Below are 23743 nucleotides of genomic sequence, written 5' to 3' on the forward strand. Positions count from 1 at the left end.
TTACTACACAGACTTGATGAAAAGAATAGAAGCCAAAAATGTCTAGGAATGAATGAGCTCCCTCTCGCCTTCTGTCCTCACTCCCGGAGGGACGTGGGTAGGCAGGCTGTTGAGATCTACTCAGGACAAGACTTAAGGTTTCAGAGAGGAGGGCCGGGTCCTGACGCAGGGCTGGGCAGATCTCAGGCCAACCACCCTAGCAGCGAGTGTGTCAGAGAAGCAGCTTCCCAGGACGGTAAGATTTGTTTCCTAGAGGCTGAGAGTGTGAGAGAGTCGTTTCACAAAGGAACAAGTGGACAAAGGGGGAAAACGGGGGTTTATATATAAATTGGGAACAGTTATGGCATAAAACATGCCAACTAGTAAAGATATAAAAATATATAGAAGTTATCTCTTGTCCACAGGTTCCAAGACCCCCAGAGGATGTCTGCAACTGCAGATAGCACCAAACCCTCCATACATAGTTCCTATGTTTTTCCTACTCATACATGCCTATGATACAGTTTAATTGACAAATTAGGCACAGTAAGAAATGAGCAATGACTAATAATAAAATAAAACAATTATAACGATATACAGTAATAAAAGTTATGTGCATGTGGTCTCTCTTTCTCTCTCTTAAAATATCTTATCATACTCTACTCACCTATTTTCAGGCCACACTTGATCACAAGTAACTGAAGCCTTGGAAAGTGAAACCACAGATAAGGGGGACTACTGAATATCATAAAGGATACATGATTAGGGAGGGTACATGTGGCCTTGCATCTTGGATAGGGTGACATTTTTGAGAGTGAATGGAGACCCTGTTGATAATTATGCCAGGACAACAAGTACAAATAAGATTACCCAGACAACTCAGCAAGCCTATTCAAAGAGTTTTAGGTGGTGACTAGGGATTACAGTAATCAGAGTTTGGAGACAAATATTCCACATTTGGCACAATTCGTTCTGGTTCCTGAGCACTCCTGTTTTTTCCTGGGCCATATTTGGCCTGATGTCCATGAGAGCTGTTGTGAGCCTGGTTTGGAGGGCCCCAGTCCCAGGCAGCACCTGTCTGACGTGTGGATGTCACTGAGGCCTGGGGTCTCAGTACAGGCTATCCAGGATGTTCAGAGCAGAGGGAAATACCTTAGCCCAGAGTGGTGAACCCTCGCCTGTGTGCCCCAAAGACTGTAGGCCTGTGCTAAGGGCTGGTTCTCAGCTGTCTTTCTGCACATAGTCTTTAAGCATTCAGAAACTAAGGTTACTTTAAGGCCAACTGTACCCTGCAAGTGTTCAACTGGCCTAAGGCATCTCTGCAGTGCTGGCATAAATTGAACCGAAGAGAGAGATAGACAGAAATAGACTAGAGAGATAAACAAATAGATGGAAAATGCATGATACTTAATACATAGCCCTGATGTAGAAATAATGGGGTTAAAGCAAGGAAAAATGCTTTTCACCACTCCTATAGAATCTTACAGTAGATGGAGGAAAATTGGGTGGATTTGGGAAATGAGAGAGTTGTGGAAAGAATCTTGGAGAGCAGTTAGGAAACTTGAATTTTAGTCTTGGTTAATTTGCCATGCGGTGTAGAAAACAACAACCCAGTAAGAACAAAAATTACTGAACACTTACTATTAACTGTACTTAACTCTCCAAACAACGATAAGAAGTAGACACTCTTTTTATTCCCATTACCCAAAAGGAAGGAGATGCAGAGCGGTTAAGTAATCTTCCCAAGTTCACACAGCAATCTTATGCCAGATGAAAAACTCAGGTAGTCTGGCTTTTGAGTTTATTCATTTAACTTTAGCATGTTTGTTTGTAAAATCAAGCAATTAGATTAGATGATGCCTAGACCCCTTTCCTCTGTTACAGTCTATTACTTGGGATTTATATTTAGGTGAAATTTAGATATAAAAAAGAATCTAATTTTCATGGTCATATTTACATGTAATATCCAACACAAAAACTAAATTTTCCTTGCAGCACATTCATTGCCCAAAATTCATTTTACAAGAAGCTAAAGAAGGCAAAGAAGGTTAGCTATTGAAACAAAAATGTGATTTTTATTAGTCTCCAGTGGTGACTGCTCTAGAGTCAAGAGTAAACAAAGATGTCAACACTCTAGTGGTATTGGAGTCTTAAAACACACAGACACACACCCTTCCATAAATTATTTTAAATCAGGTTAACATAAGCCTCTAGTTCAGCCAAGAAACTATTTTTTCAAACCAAAAGTGCACTGATAGTAATGTCTTGATGTCAATTCTGTCTTATTTTTTCAAGTGAAAGAGAGATAAAGTGATAGAGACCTCAACATCTCTGCAGAATAGGCAAAGTCGGTCTTTAGCAAGCTTATTTCCTACCAGAGACCTTTCCTCTCAGCAAAACCCTGGCGCTTCTCTCATGTTTGCCAGTATTGGCATTCTTATGTACTCTGAACAGGAGAAAAATATTTGTCCTGGGTTCATGGCTGAGGATGTTATAACAAAAGACAGATTACAAGAGAAAAGCATACAAATTTATTTAATAAGCTTTATGTGACATAGAACCCTTCTTAAGCAAATGAAGACCCAAAGAAATGGTTAAACCTGTACGTTTTTATGCAAGGTTTGATAAAGAGCGGACAGTCATATGGAAACTACAATAGGGCAATAAGAGTATGATCTAATGGTAATAAGCTAGGGGAATCTTGGCAAGGCCATTTGTTCAGATTCTTCTCTGTGACCCTCCATCTTCAGATATAAGGATATAAGGATGTTCCTTTCCTTCATGTAAAGAAAGAGCACCTCTCAAATAAGAATCATGACCTGCTTCAGAGGAAGGTCAGAAAATTCTTCCTAGGTTTTATGACCTGCTTCAGGGGAGAAGGGCTGGGGAAGTTGAGGGCAACCTTCTTGTTTCTGCTGTTTTCTTCAATATTCCAAGTGCCATACTTTGGGGTAGTGTGTCCTGAGCCCCTTCAGCTCTCTCTTAACCTCTCTTTCTGACGCTGCCCTTTCCTCTCCTAGCTAAAAATTACTGAGAATGCTTGAAGCATTGCCTGTTCAGGTGGCATTCTGGCTAGGACCAAAACCCTAAACTAAGCTCTGGGCTGAATTTCATTTAGACAGCCAATGATAGAAAGATGCACAAAGTATTATGGGAAAACAGAGCAGGGGTACCTATGCCCCTCTGAGGAGTGAGGAAATAGAAAAGGAAATCAAGATGAGGTAATCCCTAAGCTGGGCATTAATGGATGAGTAGGAGCCAGTCTGGCAGGATTGCTGGAGAGAAGTGTTCCAGGCAGAAAGGAGAGCATCCACCCAGACCTGGAGGTTACAAATATCCCAATGTGGATACTAATTCGTGGAGCTTCATGATAGTCTTGTCAAAAGATGCAGCTGATGAGGTAGAGTGGAGCCTAAACCCAGGGCTTGTTCACCTTTATCCTGTGAAAAATTGGGAGTTACGGATGAATTTTGTAGGGAATTGACAATGCCTGACTTGTGTTTACAGGAGTCATCTGGCTGATATGATGGATGTGAGGATTACCAGACCAGAAGCTGGTTAAGAGATAGTAAATAAGAAGTCACATAATATAGGTAGAATTTGAGATGTGGAAAGTGGAAATGGCCCTAACAAAGTGCTATGATGCCCCCAGATTTTCATCTTAGGTGACTAGATGTTTGGATGTTTATGTAAACCTCTAGCCCCCTAAAATGTCCCTAGAGCCCCTGTTCATGATTTTTCAAGTCACCAGAGACTCATATGTGCTTAAAAAGGTCTGACCCTATGGTATCTGTATCTGTATCTATACATGTTTTGTATGTCTTTATTTATTATTATTCTACAATGCAATTTAAATCATATATAGATATATATATACACACACACAAACACATTGAAAATATAATTACAAAACCTGCCTGAGGAGAATTCAGATCTTGCACAACTAACACCATAACCATCTGTGATTTACAGAAAAGCAATACAAAAGAAAGAAGATATACAGCAGATATTTTAAAATAAGTAGGGTCTACATATTAAACTAAAAATTTGAGGCAATTTTTCTCATAGTTCGGAATATCTTGGATAGAAAAGCCAATTTGGGGATGTTAGAATTATCTGACAAATGTTTCTGCATCATTTTAGAAAAGTAGGCATATTCTTAGCACAAGGACAGAGCATTTGTCTTATGGCCATTGAGAGATAAATGGCTTACAATAAAATAAACTGTATTTGGTAATTAAGATGATGTGCATTGATTCCTACCACTTATCTCTTTTGAAATACCCTTGCAGAAAAGATCAGAAAATCACACAGCTGAGCTGTCAAAAAGGTGTAGAAGGACTGAGAGCGGGGACAGCAGGGAGCAAAGTGAGAGGTTTTTTGTTTTTGTTTCTTGAAGTGCTGCTAAAATTAATAGCACTTTTTTCACACTTGTAAAGTAGACAGTGTGATTATAGTCCAAGCAAGGTTTCTTCCTCTCCCCAGAGACTTGAGGGCTTTGAGAGCAACTGGTCAAATGCAAAGGTATAAATAATCACGATTTCCTCTTGTAGAAAAGTAAGTAAACAGCCTTTCTCCAGAATGACTGTGACCTGATGAATTAATGGGGGTATACTTTATTTGTGAGAAATTGTGAGATTTCTCAACTAGGCAAGAAAAAAAAAGGTGTTCCTTTGGAAAGAAAGAAGTAATATTGTCTGTTTGCAGATGACATGATCTTATTTATAGAAAACCATAGTAATCCCACCAAAAAAGCCCTAAAAACTAATAAACAAATCAGTAAATTTGCAGGCTATAAAATCAACATATAAAAATCAATAATGTTGCTAGTCTCCATACTCTGAAACAAACTTTTCAAAAAAGAAATTAAGAAAACAACCCCAGAACTAAACTCAGCATGATGGCACAGTAGAACTCTCCAGGATCATCCCCCCACAAAAACATCCATGTGTACAACTATCCATACATGAAAAAGCCTTCACAGGAGATCGGACAACAAGGTAAGAGATCGCCTTGTATACCAGTACTTGGTTTTAGCATAATAATAAGACAAGACACATTGAAGAGGATAGAAAGAACAGTTTAATATTACCTATGCTACCCCTCCCCTAACCCTACGCACCACAGTGCAGAGACATTGTCCATTTGGGGGAAGAGGAGAGAAATGAGCATAAAACTTTGCTTTGCAGAACAGTACTAGGCCAGCCAGAAGACTAGCACCAGACAGAACCTCTTGGCACCTGACATCAGGCTGGTACCCATGGACAGAACCTCCAGACCCACCCTAGCACTAGACAGGAAACTGCAGCCCCAGTGGAATGGACTTATGTTCCAGTCAATACGGACTAAACTCAGCATGATAGACTAAACTCACTGCAGGCCTACTGTAGTGGCCTTGGGCTCTAAACAAACCTCAGTGGCAGGCAGGGCAGGGCACACACAGGCCTTAGGCATGCCCCAGTGCTGCACTGCTATCGGTGGCACTGGGCCTGGGGAAGACCAATTTGCATTAGCCTCAGTGGCCATGGGATTGCCTATGTTGCCCTTTCCAGAACCCCAAGTAGCACAGCACAGAGAAAGACAACATTTACCTGGCCGAAAGAGAGGAAAGTAAGTATAAGACTTTGCCTTGCAACCCTATACTGGACTTGCAGTAAAATCCAGCACTGGTTAGAAACATGGAACCCCTGACACCAGGCAGGTATCTGTGAGTGGGGCCTCTCAATTCAATCTGGTACCAAACAGGAACCTGCAGGCCCAGTATGATGGACTCAAGACCTGGCCACCTTCACTACCTGCTGACTATATGGGCCTCAGGCCCTAAATAAACCTCAGCAGTAGGCAGGCCACATCAGCCACAGACCTCTGGCACACCTCAGTCTGTGCTGGTATTGGCAGCTGCGAGCTTTGAATGGGACCTAGCACTTGTGTCAACCTCAGGAGCCAAAGGATTTCAGCCACAGTGGTCCTGAGTTTAGGGTGCTCCCTAGCACTGCAACAGCTAAAGCAGTGGGACTGGGGCTTAGGGTCCTCACCAATTAACCCGCCCTAAGCAGAGAGCTTAGGGTCCTCACCAGTCAATCTGCCCTTAATCTCTGGACAGGCCCACTACTGAAAGAACCAAATCAGGCTGTGAGGACTGGATTAAATACCTATATCAATGTGCAGACATTTGTGCACAGCCACAAAAACCAAGGGAAACATGAAGATACCAGAAAGACAAAATAAAGTGCCAGTGAATGACACTACAGTGTGGAGATGAAAGAACTGCCTGATGAATTCTAAACAGCGTTTTTAAGGAAGTTCAGTATATTAGTTAATTCTAACATTGTTATAAAGAACTACCTGAGACTGGGTAATTTATAGAGAAAAGAGGTTAAACTGACTCACAGTTCTGCAGGCTGTATAGGAAGCATGGGTGGGGGGGCCTCGGGAAACTTACAATCATGGTAAAAGAGCAAAGTGGAAGCAAGCACAATATTCACATGATAGCAGGAGAGAGAGAGAAAAGGGGAAGTGCTACATGCTTTTAAACAACCAAATCTTATGAGAACTCACTATCATAAGAACAGCAAGGGAGAAATCTGTCCCCATGATTCAATCACCTCCCATTAGGCCCCTCCTCCAGCACTGAAGATCATAATTCAACATGATATTTGGATGAGGACACAGAGCCCTTATCACTCAACAAACTTCAAGAAAATACAGATAAATAATTCAGAAACTTATCAGAGAAATTTAACAGAGATTTAAGTAATAAAAAATAAATAAATAGAAATACTGGGGCTAAAATACACAATGAATAAAATAAGAAATGCAATAGAATGCCTCGACAAGAGAATTGATCAATAAGAGGAAAGAATATGTGAATGTGAAGACCAGTTACTTAAAAATAAACAGTGAAAGAGAGAAAAATAGAAAAAGAATGAAAAGGAATAAAGAAAGCTTATGGGATTTAGGGGATAACATCAAAAAAGCAAATGTATAGGTCATTGCTATTCCAGAGACAGTAGAAAAAGAGAAAATGAGAGAAAACTTATTTAAAGAAACAATACTAGAATTTTTCCAAACCTGGAAAAAGATATAAATATCCAGGTACAAGAAGGCCAAGGCTCCCCAGTCAGATTAAATTCAAATAACAATGCCCAATGATATATTATAATCAAACAGTCAAAGGCAAAGACAAAGAGAGGATCCTGCAAGCAGCAACAGAAAAGAAGCAAACAACATATAGAGAAGTCCCAATATATCTAACACCAGACCTCTCAGCAGAAATCTAATGACCAAGAGAGAGTGGGATGATGTATTCAAAGTGCTCAAATAAAAAAATCCTGCCAAACAGGAATACTGTATTCAGCAAATCTGTTTCTCAGAAATGAGGAAGAAAGAAGATTTTCCAGACAAACAAAAGCTGAGGGAATTCATCACCACCAAATCTGTCTTACGGAAAATTTTAAGGAGAGTTCTTTAAGGTGAAAGAAAAGAAGTCTAATGAGTAACACAAAAACAACTGAAAGTATATAACTCACTAATAAAATTAAGTACATAGTCAAATTCTGAATATTCTAATAATGTAATGGCAGTATGTAAATCACATTTTCTGTACGAAGGTTAAAAAGTGAAACTATGAAAATAATAACTAATGTTAAGAGATATTCAATGTAAAAATATATAAATTATGAAGTCAAAACTTTTAAATGGGAGAGTGAAATAAAAGTGTAGAGTATTGTGGAGTCTTTGTTTTTTCAATCAAGTTAAGTTGTCAACAGCTTAAAATAACCAGTTATGACTATAAGATGTTTTTTTGTAAGCCTCATGATAAATACAAAGCAAAAACCTATAGTGAGTATACAAAAAAAGCAAGGAGCTCTGCCCTCCAAGATGGCCAAATAGGAAGACCTCCAGTGTACAGCTCCCAACGTGAGTGACGCAGAAGACGGGTGATTTCTGCATTTCCAACTGAGGTACTGGGTTCATCTCACTGGGACTTGTGGACAGTGGGTGCAGCCCACGTGACTGTGAGCCAAACCAAGGTGGGGCACTGCCTCACCCAGGAAGCACAAGGAGTCAGGGAATTCCCTTTCCTAGCCAAGGGAAGCCATGACAGATGGTACCTGAAAAATCGGGACACTCCCACCCTAATACTGTGCTTTTCCAATGGTCTCAGCAAATGGCACACCAGGAGATTATATCCCATGCATGGCTCAGAGGGTCCCATACCCATGGAGCCTTGCTCACTGCTAGCAGAGCAGTCTGAGATCAAACTGCAAGGAGGCAGTGAGGCTGGGGGAGGGGGATCCGCCATTGCTGAGGCTTGACTAGGTAAACAAAGCAGCCAGGAAGCTAAAAGTGGGTGAAGCCCACCGCAGCTCAAGGAGGCCTGCCTGCCTCTGTAGACTCCAACTCTGGGGGCAGGGCATGGCTAAACAAAAGGCAGCAGAAACTTCTTCAGACTTAAACGTCCTGGTCTGACAGCCTTGAGGAGAGTAGTGGTTCTTCCAGCACAGAGTTTGAAATTTGAGAATGGATAGACTGCCTCCTCAAGTGGGTCCCTGACCCCCGAGTAGCCTACCTGGGAGACACCTCCTAGTAGGGGCCGACTGACACCTCACACAGCCAGGTGCCCCTCTGAGATGAAGCTTCCAGAGGAAGGATCAGGCAGCAACATTTGCTGTTCTGCAGCCCCTGCTGATGTCACCCAGGAAAACAGGGTCTGGAGTGGACCTCCAGCAAATTCGAACAGACCTGCAGCTGAGGGTCCTCACTGTTAGAAGGAAAACTAACAAAGAGAAAGGAACAGCATCAACATCAACAAAAAGGACATCCACACAAAAACCCCATCTGTAGGTCACCATCATCAAAGACCAAAGGTAGATAAAACCACAAAGATGGGGAGAAACCAGAGGAGAAAAACTTAAAATTCTAAAAATCAGAATGCTTCTTCTCCTCCAAAGGAACACAGCTCCTCACCAGCAACAGAACAAACCTAGACGGAGAATGACTTTGATGAGTTGACAGAAGTAGGCTTCAAAAGATGAGTAATAACAAACTTCTCCAAGTGAAAGGATGATGTTCGAACCCATCACAAAGAAGCTAAAAACCTTGAAAAAAGATTAGACGAATGGCTAACTAAAATCAACAGCATAGAGAAGACCTTAAATGACCTGATGGAGCTGAAAACCATGGCATAACAAATACGTGATGCATGCACAAGGTTCAGCAGCTGATTCGCTCAAGTGGAAGAAAGGGTATCAGCGAATGAAGATCAAATGAATGAAATGAAGAGAGAAGACAAGTTTACAGAAAAAAGAGTTAAAAGAAATGAACAAAGCCTCCAAGAAATATGGGACTATGTGAAAAGACCAAATCTATGTCTGACTGGTGTACCTGAAAGTGACGGGGAGAATGGAAACAAGTTGGAAAATACTCTTCATGATATTATCCAGGAGAACCTCCCCAACCTAGCAAGGCAGGCCAACATTCAAATTCAGGAAATACAGAGAATGCCACAAAGATACTCCTTCAGAAGGGCAACTCCAAGACACATAATTGTCAGATTCACCAAAGTTGAAATGAAGGAAAAAATGTTAAGGGCGGCCACAGAGAAAGGTCAGGTTACCCACAAAGGGAAGCCCATCACACTAACAGCGGATGTCTCAGCAGAAACTCTATAAGCCAAAAGAGAGTGGGGGCCAGTATTCAACATTCCTAAAGAAAGGAATTTTCAACACAGAATTTCATATCCAGCAAACTAAGCTTCATAAGTGAAGGAGACATAAAATCCTTTACAGACAAGCAAATGCTGAGAGATTTTGTCACCACCAGGCCTAACTTACAAGAGCACTGTAAAGGTAGCACTAAACATGGAAAGGAAGAACCGGTACCAGCCACTGCAAAAGCATGCCAAATTTTAAAGACCATCAAGGCTAGGAAGAAACTGCATCAACTAATGAGCAAAATAACCAGCTAACATCACAATGACAGGATCAAATTCACACATAACAATATTAACTTTAAATGTAAATGGGCTAAATGCTCCAATTAAAAGACACAGACTGGCAAATTGGATAAAAAGTCAAGACCCTTCAGTGTGTCATATTCAAGAGACCCACCTCAAGTGCAGAGACACACATAGGCTCAAAATAAAGGGATGGAGGAAGATCTACCAAGCAAATGGAAAACAAAAAAAAAGCAGGGTTGAAATCCTAGTCTCTGATTAAACAGACATTAAACCAACAAAGATCAAAAGAGACAAAGAAGGCCATTACATAATGGTAAAGGGATCAATTCAACAAGAAGAGCTAACTATCCTAAATATATATGCACCCAATACAGGAGCACCCAGATTCATAAAGCAAGTCCTTAGAGATCTACAAAGAGACTTAGACTCCCACACAATAAAAATGGGAGACTTTAACACCACACTGTCAACATTAGACAGATTGATGAGACAGAAAGTTAACAAGCATAACCAGGACTTGAACTCAGCTCTGCACCAAGCATATCTAATAGACTTCTATAGAACTCTCCACCCCAAATCAACAGAATATACCTTCTTCTCAGCATCACATCACACTTATTCCAAAATTGACCACATATTTGGAAGTAAAGCACTCCTCAGCAAATGTAAAAGAACAGAAATTATAACAAACTGTCTCTCAGATCACAGTGCAATCAAATTAGAACTCAGAATTAAGAAACTCACTCAAAACCACTCAACTACATGGAAACTGAACAACATGTTCCCGAATGACTGCTGGGCAAATAACGAAATGAAGGCAGAAATAAAGATGTTCTTTGAAACCAACGAGAACAAAGACACAACATACCAGAATCTCTGGGGCACATTTAAAGCAGTGGGCAGAGGGAAATTTATAGCACTAAATGCCCACAAGAGAAAGCAGGAAAGATCTAAAATTGACATGCTAACATCACAATTAAAAGAACTAGAGAAGCAAGAGCAAACGCATTCAAAAGCTAGCAGAAGGCAAGAAATAACTAAGATCAGAGCAGAACTGAAGGAGATAGAGACACAAAAAACCCTTCAAAAAATCAATGAATCCAGGAGCTGGTTTTTTGAAAAGATCAACAAAATTGATAGACTGCTAGCAACACTAATAAAGAAGAAAAGAGAGAAGAACTAAATAGACACAACAAAAATGATAAAGGGGATATGTGCACCGATCCCACAGAAATACAAACTACCATCAGAGAATACTATAAACACCTCTATGCAAATAAACCAGAAAATCTAGAAGAAATTGATAAATTCCTGGACACATACACCCTCCCAAGACTAAACCAGGAAGAAGTTGAATCCCTGAATAGACCAATAATAGGCTCTGAAATTGAGGCAATAATTAATAGCCTACCAACCAAAAAAAGTCCAGGACCAGATAGATTCACAGCCTAATTCTACCAGAGGTACAAAGAGGAGCTGGTAACGTTCCTTCTGAAACTATTCCAATCAATAGAAAAAGAGAGAATCCTCCCTAACTCATTGTATGAGGCCAGCATCATCCTGATACCAAAGCCCGGCAGAGACACAACAAAAAAAGAGAATTTTAGACTAATATCCCTGATGAACATCGATGCAAAAATCCTCAATAAAATACTGACAAACCGAATCCAGCAGCACATCAGAAAGCTTATCCACCATGATCAAGTGGGCTTCATCCCTGGGATGCAAGACTGGTTCAACATACGCAAATCAATAAACGTAATCCATCATATGAACAAAACCAAAGACAAAAACTACATGATTATCTCAATAGATGGAGAAAAAGCCTTTGACAAAATTCAACAATCCTTCATGCTAAAAACTCTCAATAAACTAGGTATTGATGGGACATATCTCAAAATAATAAGAGCTATTTATGACAAACTCACAGCCAATATTATACTGAATGGGCAAAAACTGGAAGCATTCCCTCTGAAAACTGGCACAAGACAGGGATGCCCTCTCTCACCACTCCTATTCAACATAGTGTTGGAAGTTCTAGCCAGGGCAATCAGGCAGGAGAAAGAAATAAATTGTATTCGATTAGGAAAAGAGGAAATCAAATTGTCCCTGTTTGCAGAGACATGATTGCATATTTAGAAAACCCCATCATCTCAGCCCAAAATCTCCTTAAGCTGATAAGCAACTTCAGCAAAGTCTCAGGATACAAAATCAATGTGCAAAAATCACAAGCATTCCTATACACCAATAATAGACAAACAGAGAGCCAAATCATGAGTGAACTCCCATTCACAATTGCTACAAAGAGAATAAAATACCTAGGAATCCAACTTAGAAGGGATGTGAAGGACCTCTTCAAGGAGAACAACAAACCACTGCTCAATGAAATAAAAGAGGACACAAACAAATGGAAGAACATTCCATGTTCATGGATAGGAAGAATCAATATTGTGAAAATGGCCATACTGCCCAAGATAATTTATAGATTCAATGCCATCCCCATCAAGCTACCAATGACTTTCTTCACAGAATTGGAAAAAACTACTTTAAAGTTCGTATGGAACCAAAAAAGAGTCCTCATTGCTGAGACAATCCTAAGCAAAAAGTACAAAGCTGGAGGCATCATGCTATCTGACTTCAAACTATACTACAAGGCTACAGTAACCAGAACAGCATGGTACTGGTACCAAAACAGAGATATAGACCAATGGAACAGAACAGAACCCTCAGAAATAATACCTCACATCTACAGCCATCTTATCTTTGACAAACCTGACAAAAACAAGCAATGGGGAAAGGATTCCCTATTTAATAAATGGTGCTGGGAAAACTGGCTAGCCTTATGTAGAAAGCTGAAACTGGATCCCTTCCTTACACATTATACAAAAATTAATTCAAGATGGATTAAAGACTTCAATGTTAGACCTAAGACCATAAAGACCCTAGAAGAAAACCTAGGCAATACCATTCAGGACATAGGCATGGGCAAGTACTTCATGACTAAAACACCTAAAGCAATGGCAACAGAAGCCAAAATTGACAAATGGGATCTAATTAAACTAAAGAGCTCCTGCACAGCAAAAGAAACCACCATCAGAGTGAACAGGCAACCTACAGAATGGGAGAACATTTTTGCAATCTACCCATCTGACAAAGGGCTAATATCCAGAATCGACAAAGAACTGAAACAAATTTACAAGAAAAAAATCAACCCCATCAAAAAGTGGGTGAAGGATATGAACAGACACTTCTCAGAAGAAGACATTTATGCAGCCAAAAGACACATGAAGAAATGCTCATCATCACTGGCCATCAGAGAAATGCAAATCAAAATCACAATGAGATACCATCTCACACCAGTTAGAATGGCGATCATTAAAAAGTCAGGAAGCAACCAGTGCTGGAGAGGATGTGGAGAAATAGGAACACTTTTACACTGTTGGTGGGACTGTAAACTAGTTCAATCATTGTGGAAGACAGTGTGGCGACTGCTCAAGGATCTAGAAATAGAAATACCATTTGACCCAGTAATCCCATTGCTGGGTATATACCCAAAGGATTATAAATCATGCTGCTATAAAGACACATGCACATGTATGTTTATTGTGGCACTATTCACAATAGCAAAGACTTGGATCCAACCCAAATGTCCATCAATGATAAACTGGATTAAGAAAATGTGGCACATATACACCATAGAATACTATGTAGCCATAACAAATGATGAGCTCATGTCCTCTGTAGGGACATGGATGAAGCTAGAAACCATCATTCTGAGCAAACTATTGCAAGGACAGAAAACCAATCACCGCATGTTCTTACTCATAAACAATGAGAACTTTTGAACACAGGGTGGGGAACATCACACACTGGGGCCTGACGTGGGGTTTGGGGCTGAGGGAGGGATAGCATTAGGAGAAATACCTAATGTAAATGACGAGTTAATGGGTGCAGCACACCAACATGGCACCTGTATACATATGTAACAAACCTGCACGTTGTACACATGTACCCTAGAACTTAAAGTATAATAATTTTTAAAAAGCAAGGAATCAAAATATACCACTAGAGAAAATTTATCAACCACAAAGGAAGACAGGAAAAGAGGAATAAAGGAACAAAAGATCTACAAAATAACTGGAAAACAATTAATGAAATGGCAGTAGTGAGTCTCTATCTATCAAAAATTATCTTGAATGTAAATGGACTCAGTTCTCCAATTAAAAGACATAGAGTAGTTGAATGAACAACACCAAAGTAAAAACAAGACTTAACAATATGCTGCCTTCAAGAGACTTACTTCACTTATAAGAACAGACATAGACTGAGTGAAAAACTGGAAAAGATATTTCAAGCAAACAGAAACCAAAAGGAAGCAGGAGTAGCTATACTTAAATAAAACAGATGTTAAATCAAAAACTGTAAAAATAAAGGTCATTATATAATTAGAAGGTCAATTCTGCAAGGGCAGATAACACCTGTAAATATATATGTACCCAACATTGGAGCACCTAAATATGTAAGCAAATATTAATAGATCTAAAGGGAGAGACAGACCACAATACAATAATAGTAGGGGTCTTCCTCACCCTAGTTTTAGCAATAAACAGATCACCCAGATTAAATATCAGCAAAGATCACCCAGATTAAAAATACAGCATTTAGTCTACTGTACTGTAGACCAAATGGACCTAATGAACATTTACAAAACATTCCTTCCAACAGCTATAAAATTTACTTTTTTCTCAACTGCACATGGAATATTCTCCAAATGTTAGGCTACAAAACAAGTCTCAACAAATTTAAGAACATCAAAATTATACAACATATCTTTTCTGCCTACTGGAATAAAGCTAGAGATCAACAACAGGAGAAACCTCAGAAACATTACACATACATGGAAATTAAACAGCGTGTTCCTGAACAACCAATGGGCCAATGAAAAAATTGAAGGAAAAATTTAAAAATTTGTTTAGACAAATGAAATGGAAACACAACATATCAAAACCTATGCAATACAGCAAAGCAGTTCTCCCAGGAAAGTTTGTAGCAACAAATATTTACATCAGAAAAGAGGAAAGAGCCAGGAGTAGTGGATCACACCTGTAATCCCACCACTTTGGGAGGCATAGGCAGGTGGATCGCTTGAGCGCAAGCCCAGGAGTTTGAGATCAGCCTGGGCAATATAGTGAAACCCTGACTCCACTAAAAATACAAAAAATTAGCCAGGCATAGTGGCATGCACCTGTGGTCCCAGCTACTTAGGAAACTGAAGTAGGAGGATCACCTGAGCCCACGAAGTCAAGGCTGCAGTGAGCCAAGATTGTGCCACTGCACTCTAGCCTGGGCAATGAGAGTGAGACCCTGCCAAAAAGAAAAAAAGAGAGAGAGAGAGAAAGAAGGAGAGAGAGAAAAGAAAAAAGGAAATATATCAAATAAACAACCTAACATTGCACCTTAAGGAATTAGAAAATCAAGAACAAACTAAATTCAAAATTAGTAAAGGGAAAGAAATAATATCGATGAGAGCAGACATAAACAAAATGGAGACTTTAAAAATACAAAAAATCAACTGAGTTAGTTTTTGGAAATGATAAACAAAATTGGCAAACTTTTAGCTACAATAACTAATAGAGAAAGAGAGCCCCTATAAATAAAATCATAAATGAAAAAGATATTACAACTAATACCACAGAAATAGAAAGGATCATAAGAGACTACTATGAACAACTAGACACCAACAAATTGGAAAGCCTAGAAGAAATGGATAAATTCTTGGATACATACAGCCTACCAAAGTTGAATCACGAATAAAGAGAACACATGAACAGACCAATAATGACTAACAAGATTGAATCAGTAATAAAAAGTATCCCATCAAAGCACAAGAATGGATGATTTCCCTGCTGAATTCTATCAGACATTTAAAGAATTTATCACTTTTTTTTTTCAAATTGTTCCAGAAAATTTAAGAGGAATTCTTCCAAACTCATTTTACAAGGCCAGCATTATCCTGATGCCAAAATCAGACAAGGGCATGCCATAAAAAGAAAAACTACAGGCCAGTATCCCTGATGAACACAGATGCAGAATCCTTAACAAAATACTAGCCAATTACACATTAAAAAGATCACTGTGATCAAGTGGAATTAATTCCAGGGATGCAAAAAAAAGTCCAACACATGCAAATCAATACATGTGACATGTCACATTAACAGAATCAAAGACAAAAACCGTATGTTCATTTTAGTAGATGCTAAAAAGGCATTTGATAAAATTCACCATGTCTCCATGATAAGAATTTTGAATATGTTAGGTATAAATAAAATATACCCCAACACAGTAAAGACCAGATATGTCAAAATCACATCTAACACCATACTGAATGGGGAAAAGTTGAATGCTTTTTCTCTAAGATCTAAAACAAGATGAGGATATCCACTTTCACAGCTTTTATTCAGCATAGTATTGCAAGACCTAGCCAGAGCAATTAGGCAAGAGAAGAAAATAAAGGACATCCAAATTGGAAAAAAGGAAGCCAAATTGTTCTATGTTTGTAGATGAAATGATCTTAAATGCAGAATATCCTAAAGACTCCACCAAAATAACTGTTAGGATCAATAAATAAATTTAGTAAAGTTGCAGAATACAAAATCAATATACAATAATCAGTAGCATTTCTATACACCAATAGCAAATTACCTGAAAAATAAATCAAGAAAGCAATCCCATTTACAATACTTACAAAAAATAAAATACCTAGAAATACATTTAACTCAGAAGGTAAAAGATTGTTACAGTGAAAACTATAAAACATTGATGAATGCTTTATTAATGAAAAGATATCCTATGTTCATGGGTTGGAAGAACTAATATTGTTTAAGATGTCCACACTATCCAAAGCAACTTGCAGATTCAATGCAATCTCTATCAAAATACCAATAACTTCTTCACAGAAATAGAAAAAACAATCTTAAAATGCATACAGAATCACAAAAGACTCCCAACTAGCCAATGCAATCCTGAGCAAAAAGAACAAAGCTGGAGGTATCACACTTTCTTACTTCAAAATATACTACACTACAAAGCCATATAGTAACCCAAACTGCATGATACTGGCATAAAAACAGACACATAGACCAAAAGGAGCAGAACAGAGAGCCCAGAAACAAATCCACGTATTTTCTGCCAACTCATTTTCAACAAAGATGCCAAGAACGCACATTAGAGAAAGCAAAGTCTCTTCAATAAATGGTGCTGGGAAAACTGGATATCCACATGGAGAAGAATGATGCTGGAACCCTATCTCTCACAACTGACAAAAATAAACTCAAAATAGATTAAAAACTTAAATGTTAAGACCCAAAACAATAAAACCACTAAAAGAAAACATAAGAGAAATGCTTCATGACATTGGTCTGGAGAAAGATTTTTTGGATAAAACCTCAAAAGCACGAACAACAAAAGCAAAAATAGACAAATGGAATTACACCAACCAAAAAACCTCTAAACAACAACAAACAAAACAATGTGAAGAGACAACCTACAAAATGGAGACTGGGAGAAAATATTTGCAAATTATGCGTCTGACAAGGGGTTAATATTGAGTATAAAAAGAACTCAACTCAGTAGAAAAAAAATTAACAATTTGATTTTTTGTTAATGGGCAAAAGACCTGAATAGACATTTCCCCAAAGAAGACATACAAATGGCCAACAGGTATATGAAAAAATGTTTGACATAATTAATCATCAGGGAAATGCAAGTGAAAACCATAATGAAATATCTCCTCACCACCATTAGAACAGCTATAAACAAAAAGACAAAAAAATAACAAATGTTGGCATGGATGTGGAGAAAGGGGAATACTGATATACTGTTGATGGGAACATGAATTAGTACAGGCATTAGGGAAAACAGTATTGCGGTTTCTCAAAATATTGAAAATTGAGCTACCATATCACCCATCAATCCCACTGCAGAGTATATATACAAAGGAATTGAAATCGATATGCCAAAGAGATAGCTGCACTCCATGTTTATTGCAGCAATATTCACAATAGCCAAGATATGAAAACAACCTAAGTGTTCATCAATGGATAAATGGATAAAGAAAATGAGGTATATGTGTTACATACCACATATATAGTATATATGTGGTATACTTGTTATATACCATATATACAGTATATATCCTAAACCTATATACCATATATAGTATATACCATATATATAACACATATACCACTATTTATACTATATATAGTATGTAACACATATACTATATTTCTTATATATAGTATTATATTATATATATAGTGTGTATATATATATATATAGTGTGTGTGCATATATATATATATATATATATACATATAATTCAATGGAATACTAAATCAGGCATAAAAAAAGAATAAAACCTTGATATTTTCTGGTAAAATGGATGAATCTGGAGGACATTATGCTAAGAAAAATGAGCCAGACACAAAAAGACAAACACCACATGATCTCATTCATATGTGGAGTCTAAAGAAGTTGATCTCACAGAAGTAGAGTGTAGAATAGTGACTATGAGAGGCTAAGGAGGGTAGGTAGGAGTAGGGATAGGGAGGTTGGTTAACAGGTACAAAGTTACAGTTAGGAGAAGTAAGTCCTACTATTCTATTGCAGAGTAGGGTGTTACAGTTAACAATATTGAATATTTCAAGATAACTAGAAGAGAGAATTTTAAAAGTTCTCACCACAAAGAAATGATAAATGCATGAAATGATGGATATGCTAAATATCCTGATTTGATAATTACACAATCTACACATGTATCAAAACCTCACACTTTACCCCAAAATGCATACAACTATGTGTTAATTTTAAATATTTTTAAATTTAAAACTAAAAAAATAGAAAAGAGTCCCATTTACAATAGCATCAAAAAGAATAAAGTACTTAGGAATAAATTTAACCAAGGAGGAGAAAGATCTGTAAACTAAAATCATAAAGCATTAACAAAAGAATTTGAAGAAGATAAAAATAAATGGAAAGATACCCTGTGCTCACTGATTGGGATAATTAATATTACTAAAATGTCCATGCTACCTAAAATGCTTTACAGATTCAATGTAACCTCTGTCAAAATTCCCATGGTGTTTTTCACAGAAATAGAAAAGAAATCCTAAAATATGTGTGAAATCACTAAAGACCCTGAATAAACAAAGCCATCTTGAATTAGAAGAACTAAGGTAGTAGCATCACATTTTCTGATATCAAATTATATTACAAAGCAATAATAATCAAAACAGTATGGTACTGGCATTAAAAACAGACAAGTAGACCAATGGAACAGAATAGAGAGCCCAGAAAAAAGCCCACATGTATACTACAGTCAACTAATTTTTGATAAAGGCATCAAGAATATACAATAGGGAAAGGATGATCTCTTCAATAAATGGCATTGGGAAAACTGGATATGCATATGCAAAAGAATAAAATTGGAATCTTACTTTATACCATACACAGAGGTTAACTCAAAATGAATTGAAGACCTATACACAAGATCTGAAACTACAAAACTAGAAGAAAACATATAGAAAACTATAAAAATAGAAGAAAACTTTTGTTCCTTGAAATTTTTCTTGGCAATTTTTTTTTACTTATCACTCAAAGCACAGGCAACAAAAGCAAAAACAAACACGTATAACTATATCAAATTAAAAATTTCTGCGCAGCAAAAGGAACAATCAACAAAATGAAAAGGCATCCTATGGAATGTGAGAAAATATGTGAACACTGTATGTCCAATGAAAGGTTAATATCAAAAATATATAAGAAACTCTTACAACTCAATACCATACAAATGAACAAACAAACCAACAAAATAACCCAAGTGAAAAATGGGTAAAAGGGCTGCATAGAAAATTTTCCAAAGAAGATATACAAATGACCAACAGGTACATGAAGAGATGCCCAACATCACTAATCATCAAGGAAATGCAAATCAAAACCACAGTGAGATATTGCCTCACACCTGTTAGGTTGGCTATTATCAAAAAGTCAAAGATAATGAGGGTTGGGAAAGATGTGAAGAAAAGGGAACACTTATCTACTGTTGGTGAGACTATAAATTGGTACAGCCCTATGAAAATAGTATGGAGTTTCCTCAAAAAATTAAAAATAGAACTACCATACGATCTAGCAATCCCTCTTCTGGGTATATATCCAAAGGAAATAAAATCACTATCTCAAAAAGATAGCTCTACTCCCACATTCCCCCTTGCAGCAATATTCATAATAACCAAAATAAGGAAATAATCTAAGTGTCCTACAACACACTGATAAGGTTTGACTGTGTGTCCCCACCCAAATCTCATCTCGAATTGTAATCCCCGTAATCTCCACCTCAAAGGAGGGACCTGGTGGAAGGTGACTGGATCGTGGGGGTGGTTTTCCCCATGCCGTTCTCATGATAGTGAGTGAGTTCTCATGAGAGCTGATGGTTTTATAAGTGTTTGACAGTTCCTCCTTCACACTTGCACACACTCCCTCCTGCAGCCTTGTGAAGAAGTTGCCTGTTTCCCCTTCAATTTCTGCCATGATTATAAGTTTTCTGAGGCCTCCTAGTCATGCTTCCCATTAAGCCAGTGGAACTGTGAGTCAATTAAACCTCTTTCCTTTATAATTCCTAGTCTCAGGTAGTATTCTTTATATCAGTGTGAGAATGGACGAATACACACAATTGAATATTATTATTGAGCCTTAAAAATGAAGGCTATCTGGCCGGACATGGTGGCTCATGACTATAATTCCAGCACTTTGGGAGGCCAAGGTAGTCAGATCCCTTGAGCCTGAGAACTCAAGACCAGCCTGGACAACATAGCAAAACCCTGTCTCTACAAAAAAAAAAAAAAAAGCAAGAAAATTACCTGCGTGCAGTGGCATGTGCCTGTAGTCCCAGCTACCACGGAGGCTGAGGCGGGAGGACTACTTCAGCCCAGGAGGTCAAGGATGCAGTGACCTGTGATCCCACCACTGCCCTCCAACCTGAGTGACAATGTGAGATCCTATCTTAAAAAAAAAAAAGGAGAAAGAAATCGAAATCTTGCCATTTGCAATAACATGGATGAAGTTAGAGGACATTACGCTAAATGAAATAAGCCAGATAAATAAACATAAATACTGCATAGTCTCATGTACATGTGGAATCTTTAAAAAAAAGTCAAATACATAGAAACAGAGAGTAAAATGGTGATGACCAGGGGCTGAGTCATGGAAAAAAAAGGGGAAATATTATTCAAAGGGTACAAACTTTCTTTTTTTTTTTTTTTAAAGAGCCAAGGTCTTGCTGTGTCACCCAGGCTGGAGTGCAGTGGGGTAATCATAGTTCACTTCAGCCTTGAACTCCTGGGGTCAAGAGATCTTCCTACCTCAGCCTCCTGAGTAGCTGAGACTACTGGTGCACACCACCATACCTGGATAGTTTTTTTAATTTTTGTAAGGATGGGATGTCATTGTTACCCACGCTGGTCTCAAACTCCTGGTCTCAAGTGACCCTCCCACCTCAGCCTCCCAAAGTGCCGGGATTACAGGCATGAGCCACCACACTCAGCCAAACTTTAAGTTCTCAAATAAATAAGTTCAGGTTTAATGTCCAGCTTGGTGACCATAATTAGTAATAATGTATTGTGTACTTGAAATTTGCTAAGAGAGTAGATCTTAAGTGTTCTCACCAGGGAAACAGAGGTAACCACGTGAGGTGATGGATGTTAGCTTGATTGTGGTAATAATTTCACAGTATATATCAAAATATCATGTTGTAAAAAATATATACAATTTTTATGTGTTAATCATACCTCAATAAAGGGTGCGGGGGAGGATATTGCCTCCAAATCAGGGTCTATTCACACATTTCCCCTGAGGAGATTCCCTCCAGCCTGGCCAGCTCACTGTTCAGCCCCGGGTGCTGCCCCTGAGGATGCAGCTTCTGGGGATGGCTGAGGATGGCTGGCTACACTGGAGGCAGGAGGCTGATGGTTCAGTGATGTCTTTGATCCCTACATCTATATTACTGCATTGTTCCACTCACTGGAATAAGAACTTTGATTCCTATTTAAACCAGGGCTTTAGAGGATATTTAAAAGAAATAATGGGAATTCCCAACATGGAAACATTACTTTTTACTGAAAGCACAGTTCACAGACAGGGGGATAAAAGGAAGTTAGATCTGATTCCTGAGTGTCCTACCTATTTACATTTTGGAATCCAGTAATGTAAGTACATTTATGCTTGTGTTTAAAATATGAGCATAGAAACAACACCTAGAAAACACATGTATTTAAATCTAAGTTGAAGATAAGATGGAATTTATTGGAGGGCAACAGCAGTGACCAAAAAAAAAAAAGCAAGAGACCAATTCAACACATTAGACCTGGTCAAATAACTACCTCACGCGCAGCTACAATTACCTGAACGCCAACAACAAAATGCTGTGACGATTCAGTCTTCATCATAATTACTCATCTTCTATAGACGATACAGTCTTAAAGCATAGGAAAGAATGTATGTACAAAGAAGCACGGAAAATGACACGGTGTAGAAGATGATGACTACTCCAGTGAATGCCATAGGTGGAGCCAATTTTCTAACTGGAGTAAAATGAACTAAATTCAGAATCAAATTGAAATGTAGAGGAATATTTATTTTTCTCACCTTAATGCTTTCCTTTAAGCAGGTTTAGTTTTCATTCATTTCACTGATCTAAGGTTAATAAATTCATTATTTCAGCACCCTATGAAGAAGAAACACATCTTTTTTTTTAATTATTCTTCCTCAATAAAAGCATATCTGGAATCCTATTTTCTGAGTGAGCTGGCACACGGGGTGGGGGAGGGGAAAACTGGGAGTGTGTTGGGGAAAGCGAGGGCAGGAGGGATGACAAATCTGACCCTACCCGACAGTGCTGCCTGTCCTGTAGCATCCCAACCCTTACAGTGGTCACCCATGTGTAGTTAATCAGATTAAAAGCCTCTGAGAAACCCCTTTGAATCTCTGTCAAACAAAGACATGGAATAAACAAGAAAAAGCAGGAAGGTTATAATGCTGCACGTGGGTTAGTAATAGAAGCAAATGCAAACGCCCAGGTACCTCAGAGACTTACCCGTACCTGTCAGGGGTCTGAAAGATTTCCTGTGGCCCTGGCAGTCTGGATTTAAGGCAGGCTTAGGGGAATTAGTAAACAAAACACAGCTGAGGGTCTTTTGCCATAAACTGAACAACCAAGGAAATGAAAGTAAGGCCACGGCAAAGTTGTCTCAGCGGTGTCACTGGCTGCCATGGGGCAGCCCTGCGGTGGAAGGGCCTGACCGGCCCGGGCCAGGGTGACATCTCGGGATGTGATCTGAGCCGTCCTTGTGTGCAGATCCATGTGTTTGGAGAACAGGGTCTGTCTGTTATGTGAACACAGAGGGCATTGAGCCCAAAGCCTCATATACATTAAAAATATAATGAGAGAGATTTTTATCTTCCATGAATATTTAATTCTTCTGAAAGCCAACCATCTGCATATCACAATGCCCCGATGCATGTGTGTGATTTTCTCTGTTGTCTTTCAAAATAAAGCAGACCATTTCACTCTTCCTGTGATGCCTTGAAAGTTGCTTAAATGTGCATTGATCACTTTGATCTAATGAGTGTGTGTATTTTAAAACAAAGTCAGCACTGTTGCTCTAATCTATTTGTGTGAAGGAAACAGAACAATGGGGGGAAACCAGGTCGGGTTTCATCGTTTTCCTGGTGGCCTGTATCACAATTCAC

At 38.5% G+C, this 23743-nt stretch overlaps 1 long non-coding RNA gene across 1 annotated transcript in view; it reads right to left on the reverse strand.

Annotated features, from left to right (window-relative positions):
* LINC01170 (long intergenic non-protein coding RNA 1170) overlaps positions 1–23219 on the reverse strand; it is a 378727-nt gene extending 355508 nt beyond the window's left edge. Inside the window, exons 1-3 of the long non-coding RNA NR_125774.1 lie at positions 23094–23219; positions 22396–22575; positions 20857–20994 (exon numbers count right to left, since the gene is read on the reverse strand). This is a non-coding gene — a long non-coding RNA (long intergenic non-protein coding RNA 1170). The remainder of the gene's footprint in view (positions 1–20856; positions 20995–22395; positions 22576–23093) is intronic.
* Positions 23220–23743: the final 524 nt, after the last annotated feature.

The sequence above is a fragment of the Homo sapiens genome, chromosome 5 (assembly GCF_000001405.40).
Source record: "Homo sapiens chromosome 5, GRCh38.p14 Primary Assembly".
NCBI classification, from domain to species: Eukaryota; Metazoa; Chordata; class Mammalia; order Primates; family Hominidae; genus Homo; species Homo sapiens.